Source organism: Homo sapiens, chromosome 9 (genome assembly GCF_000001405.40).
Source record: "Homo sapiens chromosome 9, GRCh38.p14 Primary Assembly".
In the NCBI taxonomy this organism is placed as follows: Eukaryota; Metazoa; Chordata; class Mammalia; order Primates; family Hominidae; genus Homo; species Homo sapiens.
The window spans coordinates 65,875,749-65,896,495 of NC_000009.12; the positions used below are offsets into that span (position 1 = coordinate 65,875,749).

Genomic DNA, 20,747 nt, shown 5'->3' on the forward strand with positions numbered 1-20,747 from the left:
AGATTTTTTTAAAAGTTTAGTGACACTTACTGTAATTGCTTAAAATTCCCTTATCAGGGTACCCCCTCAGCAACTGCAGGATTCCTTGCAAACCCTCTTTTTTCCTTTTAGCACCCTAAAGCACTGAAATTTTCAGTGTCAGAATAGATCGGATGTCAACTAGCAAATAAGCCTTAGGTGTTCAGGCAATTTAGAGGCTGCCTAGAGCCCATGTAGAATCTGCAGAGGGAGGCCGGGCACAGTGGCTCACACCTATAATCCCAGTACTTTGGGAGGCCGAGGCGGGTGGATTACCTGAGGTCAGGAGTTCGAAACCAGCCTGATCAATATGGTGACACCCCGTCTTTACTAAAAATCCAAAAAAACTAGCTGGGCTTGGTGGTGCATGCCTGTAATCCGAGCTACTTGGGAGGCTGAGGCAGGAGAATCACTTGAACTGGGAGGCAGAGACTGTGGTGAGACAAGATTGTGCCACTGCACTCCAGCCTGGGTGGAGTAGGACTCCGTCTCAAAAAAAAAAAAAAAAAAAATCTGCAGAGGGAAGAGGGAAGTTAGTGCCTTACAGAGGGCTTCTGACTAGGAAGCCCCAGAACTGCGGCCGACCCCTTCCTCTCCCTGCCTCACCCCTGCAGAAAGATCTGCAGAAAAAGCTGGAAGGGGTGGGATGGTGTGTGTGGGGGTGGGGACTGGGGCTATGCAGTTTCCAGACCTGGTCTTTGGCACCCTCTACAGGACAGTTCCATTCCCACACCTGAGCTTTGGACAACTGAATCCTATGCCCCTTCCCACCCAGGGAACCTGGTGCCAGAAATTCCCAGGACTTACCCACCATCCACCACGCCACATAGCAAGTGTCCTCAGTGTCTGCAGACCAGAAACAACTCCCTTGTGTCTCAGCACTGGGCCACCTGCTGAAACCCCAAACTGCCTGCCCCATTGTTTGAGACCCAGTCAGGCCTTGGCTCCAAAAGTCCTCTTGGACTGCCACTGGCCCCCAGGGTCTCTCCTGACTGCACCTCGGTCCCGGAGCTCCCACACCGCTGGGCCCCGAGCCCCATGCCCCGATCCAGCTGTGGCTCCTTTACGGGGGCCTTGCTGGCCTTTCCTAAGGGAGGTGTTTTCCCGAGGGCAGGTGGACTGCTCCTCAGACTAGGGGCCCTCGGAGGGCCAGGCCTGGGCTTCTACCTCCTCTCGCAGGCTGGTGTTTCTCTGCAAATATGGCTCGTGTGTCCTCCTTCCTCTCAGACTGGGGGCCCCTGAGGACTGGGCCTGAGTTTCCCTCTCCCCCTTCAGAATGGGGGTTCCCTGAGGACTGACCCAGGGCCTCCCCCCGTCCCCTCCATCTGGCTGTTAATCTCCAACACTTCCACCTCCAGTCCTATTCTGCACAGCGCTCCCCAGCGCTGGGAGCTCAGAGGCCTCTTCAGCCTTCCCCAGGGCTGGGGCTCAGGGAGGGCTTCCTCAGGCGCTGGCCCCAGAGTCAGGCTGCACATTGGCTTGGAGGACAGGCCTTTCCTCTGGGACTGTGAGGCCCAGAGTGCCCACCCAGAACTCCACCTCTGACCTCACAAAGGCCTGCTTCAGAACTCAGTCTCCACTGCACTGCTGGCCAGACGAGGGAAGTTATTTTGGGCAGTGCATCTGGACTTGGTTCAAGTGGCACCAGCCAAATCCCTGCCTTACTGACCTCTCCCCTGGAGGAGCAGGAGCAGCGCTCAAGGCCGCCTTGGGAGGGCTGAGAGGCAGGCTCTGGACTGGGGACACAGGGATAGCTGAGCCCCAGCTGGGGGTGGAAGCTGAGCCAGAGACAGTCACAGAGGAACAAGATCAAGATGCGCTTTAACTGAGAAGCCCCCAAGGCAGAGGCTGAGAATCAGAAGACATTTCAGCAGAGTGAGTGGGGCTCCAGGCAGGGTGGGGATGGGGCAGCCTCCTCAGTGCCCAGATCTGGAAGGGTCATTCCCTGGGTACCATACAGCGAGGAGGTGACTGAGGGATTGTTTGGGGAAGGAGCCCCGGCTGGGAGTGGAAGTCCCGGCTTTCTTGTTATGGTGCAGTCCTGTGTTGCTGTGTGACACAGGCACATACACCTTCTCTCTGGGCCTCAGTTTCCTTACCTGTAAGTTGGTTGTTGGGAGGACCAGCGGTAGAGCAGAGATGGCAGGGATGCACTGGGCTGGGCTGTCAGCAGACCATGGGGGTGGGACGAGGAGAGAGCTGAAGACCACCGGCAGTGGACCACAGGGGGAGGCATGCAGGCCAGAGACGGGTCAGCTGCCGGCTTGCTGGAGTCATTCCTCCCACGCAGTCCCCTCCTGAGGGGCTGGAGCTGGGGCTGGAGGGTTTCAGCAGTCAGGGCTGGAGATAAGAGTCTGTGCTGGAGCTAGAGGGAACTGGGCTAGAGAATCAGGAGGACAGACAGGGTGAGGGGACTTCGGGCTACCTTCATGCTGTCTGTTAGAGATAAAGATAGGAGTACAAAGGGGAATTTTTGGGTGAGGTACACGGGTGAAATGAGTTTTCAGGGCCTCATCCTGTGTGTTCACCTTCTGTGTGTGTGTGTGTGTGTGTGTGTGTGTGCATGCGTGCATGTATGTGTGTGTGCCGGTCCTGGACAGTCACAGCTTAAGTTAGCAGCAAGAGAACTTGAGGTTAAAGGTATAGCACGCAAATATGAGGCTGGAGCCACTGAGTAGAGGCTGAGGGCATCTCCACAGTCCAAAGCTGGGCTGCAGACAGGGAAGGTCAGCAGGAGCACTGGAGGGTCTGGCCTGGGGTTGGGGTCCTGGGGCCAGCATGGGTGGGGTGGGGCTCCAGGGCGTCGCCTCATTGGCTGAGCACCGCTCCTCCCTCCCTGTTCCTTGGCTGGGTTAAGGGAGTGGCACTAGCAGGAGCTGCCCCAGGGCTTCTCCCCTGGGGACAAAGATCTGATGGAAGTGTGGGGCCAAGTTCTGTGTCCTCCAGCCCTAGTGACCTCTCTTTGGCTCCTCAGCATCTACAAATCTGAAGGACAAAACATGGTTCAAGCATCTGGGCACAGGCGGTAAGTACCCCACCCTCTTCTCACCCTCCAGCCCCCTGTCCTCCACCCAGCCCACTTCAGTGCCCTCCCTGCTCCATCCTCAGCCTCTCCCTTGGGGCAGCTGTCCCCCCTCGACCTCCTCCTCCCCACCCACCCACTCGCCTCTGAGGTCCCAGAAGAAAAGCATCTTCCACCTGTTGCCTGGGCTGGGTCCTGGGGTGAGGGGAGGCTCAGAAATACTTGGATGAGGGTCAAGGCATGCAGGTGGCCTTCAACTCAACTGCACTCAGCACCTCTCACCCTCTCAGGCTCAGCTGTCTTTGGGGTGAAAAAGAGCCAGTCCTTGCAATGGCCAAGGCCCTGCCTATGTAGTCCTTGTTAGCTTTCTGGCCTCCCCACTCCAGCCCCCTGCTCTCCCTCCTCCAGCCACACTGAGTTTCTTTTCTGGTTTTTTTTTTTCTTTTCTTTTTTTTTTTTTTTGAGATGGAATCCAGTTCTGTTGCCCAGGCTGGAGTGCAATGGCAAGATCTTGGTTCACTGCAACCTCCTTCTCCCGGGTTCAAGCGATTCTCTTGCCTCAGCCTCCTGAGTAGCTGGGATTACAGGATTACAGGCACACACTACCATGCCCAGCTAATTAGTTGTTTGTTTTTTTTTTTTTTTTTTTTGTATTTTTAGTAGAAATGGGGTTTCGCCATGTTCGCCAGGCTGTTCTTGAACTCCTGACCTCAGGTGATCCACCCACCTCGGCCTCCCAAAAGATTGGGATTACAGGTGTGAGCCACTGCACCTGGCCTCACACTGACTTTCTTTGCTTTCTTCAAACATGCTGAGAGTCCTCTGGTGACTATTCCCTCCATCTGAGAGGCTTTCTGCAGTTAACATACAGCCCACTCTCATCTCCTTCATGGCTTTGCTCCAAGGCCACCTTCTCAACAAGGATTACTCTGACTGCCCTATTTGAAATCACACCCCATCTCCAGCCCCTGCACTCCCAATTCCCCTCTCCTTGCTCTGTTTTTTCCCATAGGAGCTGGTACCTTCGCTTATACAAATGTACTTACTTATTACATTTCATTGCTGTCAGCTCCACGCAAGCAGGGATATTTGCCTGTTGTACACTTGGACGGAGAGAATGAATAGTGCCCCTCTGTTGACATCATTGCCTCTAGCCTACGTCTCTTTCCAGGGCTTTAGATCCTGTTTCTAGAGACCCACTGGTGTCTCACAGGCAACTCAGCTCCTAGATGGAAACAGCCTCCTCCGCCCCCCACAAGTCCACTCCTCCTGTGCTCTTGGCTCAGTCAGGGGTCCCCTTCTCTTCAGTTGCTCAAGCCAGAAGTCAAGGTCATGTCCTTGATACTTCCCTCTTCCCCATGCCTCACATCCAGTCACCAATCTCCTAAAATATCTAGAATGTGCACAGCTTCCACCATTCTTTCTACCACCACCCTACTCCCCCATGGCCATGTCAGGCCACCACCCGCCCATTCTTCAAAACTCCCTTCAGGCCTCACCTCCCATGCCTCCCCTGAGTTCCCCCAGTCCCAGGCTGCTTCTCTCTGGTGGTGTTGCCATTACCCATCTCTTCTATTAAACAGAGTGACCCAAGAGTGGAGAGTGGGTTTTGACTTTGTATCCCTGGTGCTTGACTCATAAGTAGGTGCTCAACAAAAATTTTTTCTTTTTTTGAGATGGAGTCTTGTTCTGTTGCCCATGCTGGAGTGCAGTGGCATGATCTCAGCTCACTGCAACTTCTGCTTCTTGGGCTCAAGCGATTCTCACATCTCAGCCCCCACCCCAGCTGGGATTACAGGTGCCTGCCACCACGCCCAGCTAATTTTTTTTTTATTTTTAGTGGAAATGGGGTTCTGCCATGTTGTCCAGGCTGGTCTTGAACTTCTGACCTCAAGTGATCCACCTGCCTCGGCCTCCTGAAGTGTTGGGATTACAGGCATGAGTCACCATGCCTGGCCAACAAATGTTTGTTGAATGAAGAAATGTTGGTTAGCAGGTTGAATTGTTGGCTCGTGGTTAGTTGGATAGTTTATGGTTGACTGGTTGATTAGATAATTCAATGAGTTAATAGCTGGTTAACAGGAGAATCAGTTAGTTGGTTTTTGATAGGTTAGTCAAAGGGTTAATAAGCCACCGGGCATGTTGGCTCATGCCTGAAATCCCTGCACCTTGGGAGGCTGAGGCTGGAGGATTGCTTGAGTCCAGGAGTTTGGGACCAGCTTGGGTAACATGGCAAAACCCCATCTCTACAAAAAATAGGAAAAAATAGCCGGTCATGGTGGCATGCTCCTGTAGTCCCAACTACTTGGGAGGCTGAGGTGGGAGGATCACTTGAACCCTGGGAAGTCTAGGCTTCAGTGAGCTGTGACTGTGCCACTGCACTTCAGCCTGGGCGACAGAGTGAGACCCTGTCTCAAAAAAAAAAAGAAAAAGAAAAAGAAAAGAAACAGGCGTTAGTGAGTTGTTAGCTATTTAGTTCCTTGGTTAACAGATTACTTAGGGGATCTGGTTGGCTGTCAGTTTCTTGCTTTGTAGGCTGGCTTTCTTGGGCCCCTCTTCTTAGTCTGTACCCTCTCCTTGAGCTCTCTCATCTATGCCCATGGCTCAGATGACCATCTGTGATTTGCTGTCCTCCAAATGTGTCTGTAAGTGAGACCACATGACCAGCTGCCTCCTCACTGGCCATCCCACCCAAGTGTCTAGCAGGCTCCTCACACTCAACATGTCCAGAAAGGGCCTCCTTGTCCATTCTTCCACAGCTTCTCTGCTGTGCCCCACGCTAGTCATTCCGCTGCCCTAGCCAGGACCTGAGGGCATCGCTGAGCTGCCCCGCTCCCTTCCCTCTCTAACCGAACACCAAGCCTGTCAGCTTGACTGTGTTCTTGTGGCCATTGGCACTGCCATCCTTGTGGCTCAGACTGCCACCACTTCTCCACCCATCTGTGGAGAAGCTGATGCTCACCCTGCCTCCACTCCACTTCCTCCATCCTGGCCTCCACAGGGGAGGCAGCTCTCCTGCTGAAACCCTCCACTTGGCCCATGGCCCTCTGGTAGAGTTCAGACTCCCTAATGTGGGCCATGAGGCCTTCTGCCACCTGGCCCTGGCCCCTCTCTGCCCATCTCATGCCACCTCCACTCCTCCGTGGCCAGCCCATTCCTGCACATTGGATACTGCCTTAGCTGCAGGCCTTTGCACATGCCAGTCCTACGCCCAGAGTGATCCCTGCCTCCCTGGAGGCTCCTTTACCCTCCAGCCTTCTTTTCTTGACCTGAATTTCCCTTTCTCTGGGAGCCTCCTACCCCCTCCTCTAGGCCATTCACTTCCTCCACATGCCCCACAGTGCCCACTCTTTCAGCTGGGGCAATGCTCATCACACTGCATAGTAATTGCTCAATTGATTGCTTTTCTTCCCACAGGCTGGATTGTACCAGTGTCTTTTACTGCAGTGACTGAACATTCTAGGCACAGTAGATTCAAGAAATCTTGAGTTCATTGGCTGGTTGGTGGTTATCTGTTGCTTACTGTGTCTTGCCTGCTGTGTGGTGATGAGGAAGGAGCCAGGCTTCCAGGATTCTCTTGGTGTTCTTGTCTTTCCGCTCTGTCCACTTCTCTCTCCTCTTCTGTGGTTACCTCCAGCATGGGAGGTGGGGTTGGATGGGAGCCAGTGGAGGGTCACCTCGCCCTGCTAGGGAGAGCAGCAGCATTCCTCAGGGCTCCTAAATTCCCCTGACCTCACAGCAGCAAAAAGTAAGCAGAGGGAATGAGAGACGTCCAGGCATGGAATAAAACATCTTCCACTTTTCAGCTGAGACCCTCTGTTCATGGCTCACCCATCCCAGTCCTTGCTCTATTCCTTACTCCAGAGAAACAAAACCAGGGATGAGTAGATGGAGGGGGATGCAGAGTTGCGCGGATATTCCACTGGCCCCCATCCAACTCCAGCTCCCATGCAGCATCGTATAGGGGTCTCATTATCCCATGACCAGCCTCCTCAGCCCTGAAGAAGAGACCCTATCAATGCAAGCAGCAGCCCAAAGACAGTCCTGGGAAGGTACCATAGAGGCAGGGGAGAGGTAGACAGAGCAGGGAGCCAAGAACACCAAGGGAATCCTGGAAGCCTGGCTCCTTTCTCATCAGCACAGAGCAGGCAACAACCAGCCAAGGAACCAAAGATTTATTGAATCTACTATGCCTACTATGTTCAGGCACTGCAGTGAAGCAAACTGGTATGATCCCAGCCCTTAGGAAGAAAAACCGTTAATTAATTAAGCTTTTTTTTTTTTTCTTTTTTGAGACAGGGTGTCGCTCTGTCACCCACGCTGGAGTGCAGTGGTGTGATCTCAGCTCACTGCAACCTCTGCCTTCTGGGCTCAGGCAATCCTCTCACATCAGCCTCCCCATTAGCTGGGACCACAGGCGTACACCACAACACCTGACTAATTTTTGTATTTTTTTTTTTTTTGTAGAGATGAGGTTTTGTCATACTGCCCAGGCTGGTCTTGAACTCCTGGGCTCAAGCGATCAGCTCGCCTCAGCAAGTGCTGGGATTACAGGCGTGAGACACTGTGCCTGGCCTAACTGAGCAATTACTATGCAGTGTGATGAGCATTGCCCCAGCTGAAAGAGTGGGCACCGTGGGGCATGTGGAAGAAGTGAATGGCCTAGAGGAGAGGGTAGGAGGCTCTCCCAGAGAAAGGGAAATTTAGGTCAAGAAAAGAAGGCTGGCGGGTAAAGGAGCCTCTGGGGAGGCAGGGAACCATTCTCGGTGTAGGACTGGCATGTGCAAAGGCCTGCAGCTAAGGCAGTACGTGATATGCAAGGATGGGCTGGCCAGAGGAGTTGAGGGGCTGGTGTCAGCTTCCGGGCATGCAGACAGTGAGATAGCAGAGTGACTAAGGCCACACTTAGAGGTATCTGTATCCCTCTTCTTCCTCTTTTTTTTTTTTTTTTTTTTTGAGATGGAGTCTCGCACTTGTTGCCCAGGCTGGAGTGCAGTGGCAAGATCTCGGCTCACCACAACCTCCATCTCCCATGTTCAAGTGATTCTCCTGCCTCAGCCTCCGAAGTAGCTGGGATTACAGGCATGCGCCACCATGCCTGGCTAATTTTGTATTTTTTAGTAGAGATAGGGTTTCTCTATGTTGGTCAGGCTGGTCTCGAACTCCTGACCTCAGGTGATCTGCCCACTTTGGCCTCCCAAAGTGCTGGGATTATAGGCGTGAGCTACCGGGCCCAGCCCCTCTTCTTCCTCTTTATCCTCCAGTCCCACCCCGCCACCTTCCCCAAACTCCAGTCCTATACCTCTCCCTATACGCAGATTTGGAACCTGTTACTCACCTGTTTCATCTACCTTTCCATCTAACCGTGCACTTAACTAAATATAAATCAAGTGCCAGGCCCTTTGGCAAGCTCTGAGGATCTAGTTGGGAGTAAGACAGATTCCCCAGTTTTCACCCATTCAACAAATACTTATTGCACATCTACTATGTGCCTGGCATGGTGCTGGGCACTAAAGATACACCAGGAAGTAGATCCAGTCCTTCCTTTTCTCCCTCCCGCTCTCTTGGTCATTCATTCATTCATTCACTCACTCTCTCACAAACCTCTGTTTGCACTGACCTGGTTGCACAGCCTGGTGCATTTTGCTGACCCCTTCATTTTTGACAGAACCTGGCGCATGTTTCAGTGCTCAGTGCTGTTTACAGAGCTCGGCAGCAGACTTTGTCACACTTCATGCTGTTTGTAGAGTGCCTCACTGTTGCCAGGCCCTGGCCTGTGACCCCAAAGTTCTGGCTCTAGCAGATAGGCAGACAGACAGATGGACAGACATAGACTACTGAGCTCTACTTTCCAGCCTGCTCTCTCCCACCCTACTTTTTCCCAGAGGCTTGTTGGCACCGTGGATTGCACTTTCAGCTCCCCACCTGTCCGTCTGCAAAGTGGCCTCATTGGTGTGCCATTTTTACTGGTCCAGTCCCAACTACAAGGGGCATGGCTTGGCCATCTACCCCAGTTCCTCTCCATGTCCCCATGGCTCTCAAGTGTCTCCAATTCCAGCTGTCCCAGCTGCCCCGGGCAAGAGGAGGTGTGTGTGGCAAGTCTGCTGGGTTACCTATTAACTCAGCTGTGAGTTGAAGAGCCGATGGGCAGCAGGCAGACTTGAGTCTCCTTTCTGTCCATGAGCTCGGGCCACTGTATCAGGTCCACCCGTGGCTCCAAAATGGTCTCCTGGTCCGTGATAGCAAAGATCCAGGAAATATGATGCGAGGAAGATGAGAGGAAGATGGCGCGAGAGTTCCTGGCCGAGTTCATGAGCACATATGTCATGATGGTGAGTGGGCGGGCAGCACGAAGTGGGTGGGCTCTGCCAGGGCCTTCCATGACCCCCTCCCCATTCTGACCCCATGGGTCACATTGTCCATTCCTTGCCTCTGAGCTGGGAGCCTGGGGAAGCAGCGAGGAAAGTAAGGGGGGGGGGGGCTTTCTCATCAAGTCTTTTTGGACAGAAAGGGCTCATAATATGTGGGGGTCAAATGAAACCATGCACTGGGGTATCCGGGGCAAGGCTGGAAATGGGGAGAAGGGAAACCCAGAGTAAAGAGATTGAAGAGGCCCAGGTGCAGTGGCTCATGCCTGTAATTCCAGCACTTTGGGAGGCTTAGGCAAGTGGATCACCTGAGGTCAGGAGTTCGAAACCAGCCTGGCCAACATGGTGAAACCCCGTCTCTACTAAAAACACAAAAATTAGCTGGGCATGGTGGCGGACACCTGTAACCTCAGTTATTCAGGAGGCTGAGGCAGGAGAATCGCTTGAGCCCAGGAGGTGGAGGTTGCAGTGAGCTGAGATCACACCATTGCACTCCAGCCTGGGTGACAGGAGCAAAACTCTGTCTCAAAAAAAAAAAAAAAGAAAAGAAAAAAGAGAGAGAGATTGAAGAGAAACTTGATGATCAGGCTCTGATAATGAATCCAGAGGGCAATGGGCGATGTTGAAGGCTGGCAAGCAGGGGAGTGACATGATCAGATTTGGATTTTAAAGGTAATTTTGGGTGCAGTGTGGAGCATAAGCAGGACAGGCAAGGCTGGCAAGAAGGAACCAGTTAAGAGGCTGTTTTTGATCTGGGACAGAGAGAGGGTGATGACTGATCTGGGGTTGGAGAAGAAAGCACATGTTTGAGAGGGCTGTGGAAGATGGAATCGGGGAGACTCTGCCAGCAGAACATGTGGGCAAAGCGCCGATGAGCTGTTCTGGAGCACGGGGCCCAGCACAGGGTGAGAGGCAAGATGCCTGTAGGGAAATCCAGGAGATAGTTAAACACAGGCAAGGGTCTGGAGCTCAGGAGAGGCTTGGTCTGGAAGGAAAAAGTTGAAGTTCATCACAACACAGGTGGTGGTTGTCAACACTGTCTAGAAGGAGTGTACAGAAAGAGAAAAGGATGGTTTGAGGACAGAGCCCTGAGGAATGAAGAGGGGCACGCAAAGGAGCCTGAGAAGGAATGGTCAGAGAGGTGGGAGGAGAACCAGAGCCGACTGCATGACAGAGGGGGGCAGTGGTTCCACCAGGAAGAAGCCATCAGCGGCATGGGCAGCGGCAGATGGGCCACGCAAGGTGAGCACTGGCAAGGGGCCTTAGGGTTTGCCAATGTGGAGGTTGCTGGTAACCTTGACAAGGGCTCTTCTTTAGTGTGTGATTGGGACAGAATCCAGACTGCAGGTGGGATGTGAGGTTGCTCCCTCTCCACCTGCTTCAGCCCTGCCACTTACCCCAGTGAGCCTCTGCCCTTAACATGACTGTAGCCATGTTTATTGCATCTTATGCAGGGTCCAGGGTCTAGAGAAAGAAGGGGCAGCCTCTGGGAAGGGAGGCAAAGGCAGCCAGGTGCATGCTAGAGGAAGGTGGGGTGAGAGAGGCTGTTCGTGTGTGTGGTGGGGCCCATGGAGCTCAAGGGAGAGAGGAAATTGGAACACCAGGTTTCTTAGCCTGACCCTGCCACTGAGTGACCAGTTGCCTTGGGCAGGTCTCTCCCTGGCTTAAAGCCTGACTTCTCACTTATATCGTGTAGAATTAGGCCTTCGTGGGCTTTGGAGCTGTGTTTGAATCCTAGCTCTGTTATCTTCTAGCTGTGCGACTATCCACAAGTATCTTAACTGTTCACAAATTTAGCTTTCTTGTTTTTGAGACAGGGTCTCACTCTGTCTCCTAGGATGGAGTGCAGTGGTACGATCTCAGCTCACTGCAGCCCCCACCTCCCATACTCAAGTGACTCTCTTGCCTCAGCCTCTTGAGTAGCTGGGACTACAGGCATGTGCCACTGTGCTCAGCTAATTTTTCTATTTTTAGTAGAGATGGGGTTTCACCATGTTGGCCAGACTGGTCTCGAACTCCCGAATTCAGGTGACCTTCCTGCCTCGGCCTCCCAAAGTGCTGGGATTGCTGGCGTGAGTCACCTCTCCCAGCCCACAACTTTAGCTTCCTTATTGGTTAACAGGAGGACTTGTGTGAAGAAGGCCAAGTCTCAGCACCCAGTGTGGTACCCATGTATTGGTCCCTTGTTATTAGGACGGGTGCTCTAGCTGCTGTCTCCTCTCTGTCTCTGGCCCTCCCCTACTCCTCTCTTACCTCCCCACCTGCTTTGGCTCCTGAGCTGTGAGGACAGCAGTTGGATCCTGTCCCTCCTTAATCCAGGGCAAAGTAATTCACTTACCACAAGACATTCCAGCCCCATGAGGGCTGTTAACCCTTGGAGCCTCGGAGGCAGGAGGGTGCATCCTCTGAGAGCTGTTAGGGAAATAGGCACCGCCCACATGCTTGATACCTGCCCACATCTGTGTTCCTCTTCCTTTTGTTGAGATTTTCATTGAGCACCTAATGCATCCCGGGCTCTGTGATGCTAAGCCCCTTACGTGCAGCATCTTCCCAAATCCTCGCAATAGCCCTGTGAAGTAGGTACTATTATTATCCCAGTTTCACAGATGGGAAAACTGAGGCTCCTTGAGACTAAGCCTTTTGCCCAAGGTCACACTTTAAGTCAAGATTAAATCCAGTGCAGTCTAATATCACAGTCTTTTTTGTTTTTGTTTTTGTTTTTTTGAGATACAGTCTTGCTTTGTCACAGTGGTGCAATCTCGGCTCACTGCAACCTCTACCTCCTGGGTTCAAGCGATTCTTGCATCTCAGCCTCTGGAGTAGCTGGAATTACAGGTGCATGCCACCATGCCCAGCCAATTTTTGTATTTTTAGGAAAGACAAGGTTTCACCATGTTGTCAAGGCTGGTCTTGAACTCCTGACTTCAAGTGATCCTCCCACCTCGGCCTCCCAAAGTGCTGGGATTACAGGCATGAGTCACCGTGCCCAGCCCAATATCACAGTCTTGACCCTTAACCTCTATGCTCTGTACCTTAGCTTAAATATTGCCAGCTTTTAAAGACTCGCTTGTTAATGCTCCCCCAGCCAGGGTAAAGTCCTCACTTTCAGGTAGTTCAAGATGCCTCTCTCGGCCTCAGTTTCCCCATTTATAGAGTGGGAGAAAAATTCTTGCTGTGCAGATTTGTTGTGAGGATTGAAGACAGTAGCACTTGTAAAAGAACTTTGTGAGGCGTAAGCCTAAATCGGATATTGTGGTGTTGTTATTTTTAGTTGCCAGGCTGTGCCAAGAAGTGAGGGCTTTTTTTTTTTTTTGTAAATATATATATAGGAATCTCAGTGAGTCACCAGGGTGAAGTTTTGCCAAAAAAGCTAGTGTGACCTTGGCCCCATTTATTGCAGCCAGGACAAGGGAAGTGGACTGATCCGTGTTGCAGCTTCCAGGTGTGTTGCCCTTGGAGCTGGCCTCCTGGCTGTGGGGGAGAGTTGGATGGGCTGGGCCACATTCACTGATCAGGGAGAGGAGGGGCTGGAGCCATCCGGGCCCTGGAAAACCAGCCATACACATGAGACACGGGGCAAGGGTTGTAGATCACATGCTACGGGGGCCAAGAGAGCGGCAACTCAGGGCGGTGGGGACTTTGGCTGGCTGCAGAGTGCCAATCTGTGCAAGGCTGTAGAGCTGCTGCCACTCCAGCTGACTGTTGCCATGGAGGGTGGAATGCAGGCCAGTGTTGCTTGAGCTGCTCATTTTTCAAGAGAGACGGAAACTTCTGTTCTTCAAAACCAAGTTATCTAAACAAAATCTGTGCGCTGGATGAATTAGGTGCATGAGTTGCCAGTTGGCAACCCTGACACAAGGAATCATGTGGGGTTCATTCATTCACCCAGTATTTTATTTTATTTATTTTATTTTTTTGAGACAGAGTCTCACCCTGTTGCCCAGGCTGGAGTGCAGTGGTGTGATCTCAGCTCACTGCTCTGCCTCCCGGGTTCAAGTGATTCTCCTGCCTCAGCCTGCCGAGTAGCTGGGATTACAGGCATGTGCCACCACACCTGGCTAATTTTTTGTATCTTTAGTAGAGACGGGGTTTCACCATGTTGGCTAAGCAGGTCTCAAACTCCTGACCTCATGATCGGCCTGCCTCGGTCTCCCAAAGTGCTGGGATTACAGGCGTGAGCCACCACACCTGGCCTATGCTCATCCAGTATTTTTAGCACATGGTATTGGAATGCGGGAAAGGCCATGGGGGCCCCTCTGTTTTCAGACCCTCCATGCCTCCTCCAGTCCCTCTACCTCTTGACCCTGCCAGCCTGTCAACCTGTCCTGACCTCACTCCCCCCTGCACCCCCATCTGTTCCTGTCCTCTCCTGCTGTATCTTATCCTGGATCTGAAGCCAGCCTAGCTCTGGGCTCCCCTGCTCCTGTCCTGGGGCTTCTGAGGGACCCAGTGGGCCCTGCTCAGCTGCCTCTCCCCCACCATATCTGGGCTATTTCACATTTTCTCAGACTTCCCCAAAGCTGCTCTGTACTCTTTTTTTTTTTAAATCAGCAAATGGCTTGATCTGCTGCTTGATAGGTAAAATAATCAACACTTCCTATGTTCAGCTCACCCTCTTGTCCCTCTTACCACCAGACCCATTAACCACCCGTGTATCCACATATCACCCCTTGGCTGGGGTGGGGTCCTCTCCTTCCTGGAGGACACCTCCACTTCTGCACCAATCCAGCTGTCCAGCCTATTCAGGTACTTTACTCTGTCCTTTTTCTCTGTCCTTTATCTTCAGCCCATCCCTCTCTCAGCCTATAAACATACTGAAGTTTCTCCACTGAAAACAACACAAAATGAAACATCCCTCCCTTCACCCTGTCAGCCCCTTCACGGGATCATGTTCTCTCTTCCCCGCTCCTCAGGCGAATTCTCGAAGAGGAGTCTACACTGGTGCCTTTCAACTCTTTTTTTTTTCTTTTTTTGAGATGGAGTCTTGCTCTGTCGCCCAGGCTGGAGTGCAGTGGTGTGATCTCAGATCACTGCAAGCTCCACCTCCTGGGTTCAAGCAATTCTCCTGTCTCAGCCTCCTGAGTAGCCGGGATTACAGGCAAGCACCACCACGCCTGGCTAATTTTTGTATTATTAGTAGAGACGGGGTTTTGTCATGCTGGTCTTGAACTCCTGACCTAAAGTGATCCATCCACCTCGGCCTTCCAAAGTGCTGGGATTACAGGCATGAGCCACCGCACCCGGCCTGGTCTGCCTTCTTACCTTGTACCCTCTCCTGGGGCCTTCTCCTCTGTCGGCTTTGACTTTGGCCCTTATGTCTACAATTCTTCAGGTTTTCTCCTTTATCAACTCTAGAACAGAGTTCTCCAGGGGAAATACAATACAAGCCATCTGTATAATTTAATTTTTTCTAGTATCCACATTAAAAAGGTAAAAAGCAACAGGTGAAATTAATTTTAATAATTAACCCATATAGCCAAAATCCTATTTCAAGATGCAATCAATGTAAAATTATTAGGATATTCTGGCCAGGCATGGTGGCTCACACCTGTAATCCCAGCACTCTGGGAGGCTGAGGTGAGAGGATTGCTTAAGGCCAGGAGCTCGAGACCAGCCCGGGCAACATAGTGAAACCTCATCTCTACACAAAATAAATTGAAAAACTTAGCTGGGATAGGGCTCAATGGCTCATGCCTGTAATCCCAGCACTTTGGGAGGCCAAGGCAGGCTGATCATCTGAGGTCAGGTGTTTGAGACCAGTCTGGCCAACATCGTGAAACCCTGTCTCTACTAAAAATACAAAAAAATAGTTGGGCATGGTGGCATGCACCTATAATCTCAACTACTCGGGAGGCTAAGGCAGGAGAATCACTTGAACCCGGGAGTTGGAGGTTGCAGTGAGCCGAGATTGCGCCATTGCACTCCGGCTTGGGCGACAGAGCAAGACTGTCTCAAAAAAAAAAAAAAAAAATTGGCTGCGTGCCGAGGCACATGCCCATAGTCCCAACTACTTGAGAGGCTGAGGTGGGAGTATCACTTGAGCCCAGGAGATGGAGGCTGCAATGAGCCCTGATCATGGCACTGCACTCCAGCCTGGGTGATAGAGCAAAACCCTATCTCAAGCATCAAACAAACAAACAAATAAAACAGAGGCACAAGAAAGCAAGGCATGCATGGAGCAGCGCAGTTGTTTGGTTTGAGGCCATCTGGCACAGGTAACTGCCTGGATTTAATCCTGGCTCACCATGTACAGGCTGTGTGACCTTGGACAAGCCATTCAAGTTCTCTAAGCTTCAGATTACCCATCTGTCAAGTGGGGGAGAATAATAGTGCTTAACTATCATTTGCAACATCTGAGTTTCTGGCTCGGCCAACGGGGATGGGGAACATAGAGTGAGGAGCAGGTGTGCTGTGAGATGGCGAACCTTCAACAGAGCCTGAGACGTCCGCGGAACACCAGGAGAGTTGCAGTGGGGATTTGCAAATAGGCATCTGGCTCCCCCACGGAGATGACGGGAATTTCAGCGCATCAGGCATAGCTGAGACTGTCTACGTGGTAAAACCATGCCTGAAAAGACCTTTGGAAAATCAGGAGGTTGCTGGAGCCCTTGGAGAGAGCTTTGGTGTCTGTGACATGTGGAAATGGAAGCCAGATTGAGGAGGGGGTGCGAGGGAAGGGGTGAAGCAGCTGGCCAGTGTGTTCTCTCCTGCAGCCTGACTGAAACAGGGAGGGGGCAACCAGGAACCCACAGCTGGAGAAGGACACTGGGCAGGGGTGGGACAGTTTGCTGGGAAGGATGAGACTCCAGTGTGTGGGAACCGATCAATGGGAGGATGGAAGGTATGGGGGAGACGGAGGCCTCTGCAGAGGGAGAGGATAGCACAGGAGCCAGGGCTGAAGGGAACAGTGGCTCTAGACTGAGGGTAATGGGCCTGAAGGTAGGCCCCTTCCCCTGTGAAGGCAGCATTATCTGAGGAGCCGTGAGGGATGGGCAAGAAGCAGCAGCTTGGGAATGCCGCCTGAGGTCAGTGGAAATGAAGCTGAGGGCAAGACAGTTAGGGGCCCACTGTTCCAGCATTGTGGGAATTGCGGTGGAGTGTGTGTGTGTAGGGAGGGGTTCCTGGCAGAGTCAGGCATGGATGGATTTGGAGGTCCCTTGAAGAAACTTCCTTCAGGTCAGCCTGAAGTGTGAGGGACTCTGAGGGGGTGCAATGCATGCCAGCCATCCCCTCCTCGCAGCCCTGCCTCACCCCAAAACTTCAGGTGGGCCTGGGGCTGAGGTGCTTGGATGTTTGTAGTAAGAGCTTCTAACTCTGCCGCTCCACCCGGCTCTCAGTGGCTCAGGTCTGAGAGGCCTCAGCAGGGGCAAGGAGAGGAGGCAGTGAGGAGGGAAGGCTCTGGAGGAAGAGGGCATGGCAGAGGGTCTTCGAGGCAACGCCAGGGAGGCCCAGGGCATGAGGGTGAGGAGCTAGAACTGAGCTCTGAGCCCTCCTCTGAGGTTGGGGCTTCTGGGCAGGCAGCCCCCTTAGAGGCCCTCCCTTGTAGGTATTCGGCCTTGGTTCCGTGGCCCATATGCTTCTAAATAAAACATTTGGGAGCTACCTTGGTGTCAACTTGGGTTTTGGCTTCGGAGTCACCATGGGAGTGCACATGGCAGGCCGCACCTCTGGTGAGTGAGCCCAGGCCCTGCCGGACCGGGCAAGACCAGGTGTCCCCAACAGGCTCTTTCCTGCCCGCCTCAGCCAGCTCCTTTGCCAGCACAGCCAGTGCCTCAGCCTGGCCACCGGGCGGGAGGAAGTCTCCTCTGAACCCCGTGCCTATGACGTGTCTGCCCCAGATTCTTCCTGGCCCCCCCGACCTACCATTTTCACTGGCTGGGTCATCTTAGGCAAGCCATCGCCTCTGTGTTCCTCAGTTTCCTTAAGAGTGAAAGGAAGACGGTGGCCCCTGCCTCACGGGGTGGTTGTGAGGGCTCAAGGAGAGAACTCTGTCACGGAGCATGCTGTCATACACACTAGCCATCGTTGTTCTCATACTGTTTGTCACTGTTGTTTGTTCTGCTCTCACTCCCTGACACACTTGCCTGCTGCCCGCAGGAGCCCACATGAACGCAGCTGTGAGCCTCACTAACTGTGCACTGGGCCGTGTGCCCTGGAGGAAGTTTCCAGTCTATGTGCTGGGGCAGTTCCTGGGCTCCTTCCTGGCAGCTGCCACCATCTACAGTCTCTTCTACAGTGAGCGTCCTGCCCGGGTGTCCGCCTCTGGCCTCAGCTGCCTCCTATGAAATATGGGCAGATTGGACCTCAGTGTCCTGATTTGTAAAAAATAGCTGGGAGAAAAAAGCCTTGGAGGTCTCCCACCCTCTAACCTATAACCTAATTTCCGGGACCCTGGTGGGGCTTAGCTGGGGACAGGTTCGCATGATAGTCTGTGTCTCCACAGCGGCCATTCTCCACTTTTCGGGTGGAGAGCTGATGGTGACCGGTCCCGTTGCTACAGTTGGCATTTTTGCCACCTACCTTCCTGATCACATGACATTGTGGCGGGGCTTCCTGAATGAGGTCAGTGGTCCAGGATGAGTACCCCTCCCCCTGCCCTCCACCCCTCAGGACGGAGCCAGCAGGGAGTCCCTCCGGATAGACAGGACAAGAACTCTGGATGGAGACTGTACCAAGATGTGTCTCTGCTGGTGGGCTTGGGTCTGGGGCACTGCCGAGGTCCTGTGGCTTGGGGAGGGGCCCAGGTGAGCTTCCACAGCATCTGCTCCTCAGGAGTGGCTGACCGGGATGCTCCAGCTGTGTCTCTTCGCCATCGTGGACCAGGAGAACAACCCAGCACTGCCAGGAACACACGCACTGGTGATAGGCATCCTCGTGGTCATCATCAGGGTGTACCATGGCATGAACACAGGATATGCCATCAATCCGTCCCGGGACCTGCCCCCCCGCATCTTCACCTTCATTGCTGGTTGGGGCAAACTGGTCTTCAGGTACTGCCCCTGCCCAGGCCCATTCCTTTGAGATTTTCTGTGGGGCCCCTGTGTGTTGAGGTGTGGGGGGTGATGTGAGGGGCAGCACAGGAGGGTCCTGCAGAGCCCCCAGGTGGCCTGGGGAGCAGGAGTGAGTCCCAACATTTCCCCAGGCCAGTACAGATACAGATCCTGCACCTGCACTGAGTGTCAACCCTGTCCCTGAATCGGGCTGAGGCTGACCAGGGCCCCGGGTTGGGGGTGTTTCCTGGGTTAGCCTGAGGATGACTCCTCTGCTCAACCAGTCTTGGCCCGAGGTGGATGAGGGTGCTGTCCTGGGCATCAGCCCCCTCAGCCGGCCTCTGCCTCTTGCCTGCAGCGATGGGGAGAACTTGTGGTGGGTGCCAGTGGTGGCACCACTTCTGGGTGCCTCTCTAGGTGGCATCATCTACCTGGTCTTCATTGGCTCCACCATCCCACGGGAGCCCCTGAAATTGGAGGACTCTGTGGCATATGAAGACCACGGGATAACCGTATTGCCCAAGATGGGATCTCATGAACCCATGATCTCTCCCCTTACCCTCATCTCCGTGAGCCCTGCCAACAGATCTTCAGTCCACCCTGCCCCACCCTTACATGAATCCATGGCCCTAGAGCACTTCTAAGCAGAGATTATTTGTGATCCCATCCCTTCCCCAATAAAGAGAAGCTTGTCCCACAGCAGTACCCCCACTTCCTGGGGGCCTCCTGTGGCTGGGCTTCCCTCCTGGGTTCTTCCAGGAGCTCTAGGGCTATGTCTTAGCCCAAGGTGTAGAGGTGAGGCACCTCAAGTCTTTCATGCCCTGGGAACTGGGGTGCCCCAGGGGGAGAATGGGGAAGAGCTGACCTGCGCCCTCAGTAGGAACAAGGTAAGATGAAAGAATGACAGAAACAGAATGAGGGATTTTCAGGCAAGGGGGAAGGAAGGGCAGTTTTGGTGAAAGGACTGTAGCTGACTGGTGGGGGGCTGGCTTTGGAAATACTTTGAGGGGATCCTGAGACTGGACTCTAGACTCTCCCCTGGTTGTTCCCTTCCCCGAGTTCTGGCCGGTTCTTGGACCAGACAAGGCATGGCCCAAGAAGGTAGATCAGAATTTTTTAGCCTTTTTTTCATTAGTGCCTTCCCTAGTATTCTTCCAGATTTTTTTTCTTAATCACATGAAATTTTAATACCACAGATATACTATACATCTGTTTATGTTCTGTATATGTTCTGTGCTTTATACGTAAAAAAGAGTAAGATTTTTTTTCACCTCCCCTTTTAAGAATCAGTTTTAATTCCCTTGAGAATGCTTGTTATAGATTGAAGGCTGGTAAGGGGTTGGGCTCCTCTTTCTTCTTCCTGGTGCCAGAGTGCTCCCACATGAAGGAATAGGAAAGGAAGATGCAAAGAGGGAAATCCTTCGAACACATGAAGACACAGGAAGAGGCCTCTTAGGGCTCCAAGGGCTCCAGGGAAGCAGCTGCAGAGGTTGGGTGGGGTGAGGGGCCAGGATCCACTGACCCTGGGGCCAGGCAGGAATCACTCTGTTGCCTGGGGCTCAGAAGGCAGTATCACCCATGGTTCCTGTCATTGCTCATGTATTTTGCCTTTCAACAATTATTGTGCACCTACTGTGTGCAGGCCCTGCCTGGACACTGGGGATGCGCAGTGGATGCACTGGGCTCTGCCTTTGAGGGTTGCAGTTTAATGGGTGACAGGTAATTATAAGGAAGAAGGTGAGTGCAGAGTGGGAGGCTTGGAGGCTGTGGGGCTTGGGGTGGGGGAGCTCACATCCAGCCTCTGGGCCAAGGCCAGGAGGCTTCCCAGAGGAGGAGACAGAGCAGGGTATTGTGGTGGGGGGTGTCCTTTTTGGGGCTGGGATTGCACTTTACAGTTTGAGGGGATGGGCAGAGGAGGCTGGGCTTCATTCTGGAGGTGGGGACATGGTGAGGTGAGGTTTAGAAAGCACACCTGAGCCGCAGTGTGTAGGATGCTGGAAATGGTGGAGATGGGCCTGCGAAGAGAGTGCTGGGAAGTGATGACCCAGGAGCAGCAGCCGGGCACCTAACAATGGGTCAGCACCGTGGGCGTGGAGACAAGGGCCGGGATTGATCAATACCCGAGAAGTACAATGTACAGGACTTGGGCTCCATTTGGATGGAGTGGGTGAGGGAGGAGTCAGAAATGGCTTCCGGTTTCCAGCTTGGGCCTGGGGATTGGAGATGTCCCCACTGAGAGTAGGGCACAAGTGAGGAAATTGTTTGGAGAGGAAGATGATAAGTTACATCATGGATGTGCTGAGTCTGAGTTGCCTATGGGACTTGGAATGGGGGGTGGCAAAAGGTGTG

The 20,747-nt window shown here is 53.0% G+C and overlaps 1 long non-coding RNA gene and 2 pseudogenes across 3 annotated transcripts in view; 2 read left to right on the plus strand and 1 right to left on the minus strand.

Moving 5' to 3' along the window:
- LOC101928195 (methylenetetrahydrofolate dehydrogenase (NADP+ dependent) 1 like pseudogene) overlaps positions 1 to 1,526 on the minus strand; it is a 40,305-nt pseudogene extending 38,779 nt beyond the window's left edge. The window contains exons 1-2 of the transcript NR_135597.1: positions 1,371 to 1,526; positions 826 to 928 (exon numbers count right to left, since the gene is read on the minus strand). The product of NR_135597.1 is annotated as a methylenetetrahydrofolate dehydrogenase (NADP+ dependent) 1 like pseudogene (transcript). The remainder of the gene's footprint in view (positions 1 to 825; positions 929 to 1,370) is intronic.
- Positions 1,527 to 1,794: 268 nt separating this feature from the next.
- Positions 1,795 to 19,097, plus strand: LOC112267859 (putative aquaporin-7-like protein 3). The gene is made up of 8 exons (NR_172916.1): positions 1,795 to 1,893; positions 2,993 to 3,043; positions 9,243 to 9,372; positions 16,955 to 17,078; positions 17,506 to 17,643; positions 17,852 to 17,970; positions 18,181 to 18,398; positions 18,757 to 19,097. It is a non-coding gene; the product is annotated as a putative aquaporin-7-like protein 3 (long non-coding RNA).
- Positions 1,826 to 20,747, plus strand: part of AQP7P3 (aquaporin 7 pseudogene 3) — a 34,987-nt pseudogene continuing 16,065 nt past the window's right edge. Inside the window, exons 1-2 of the transcript NR_026558.1 lie at positions 1,826 to 1,893; positions 2,993 to 3,043. The product of NR_026558.1 is annotated as an aquaporin 7 pseudogene 3 (transcript). The remainder of the gene's footprint in view (positions 1,894 to 2,992; positions 3,044 to 20,747) is intronic.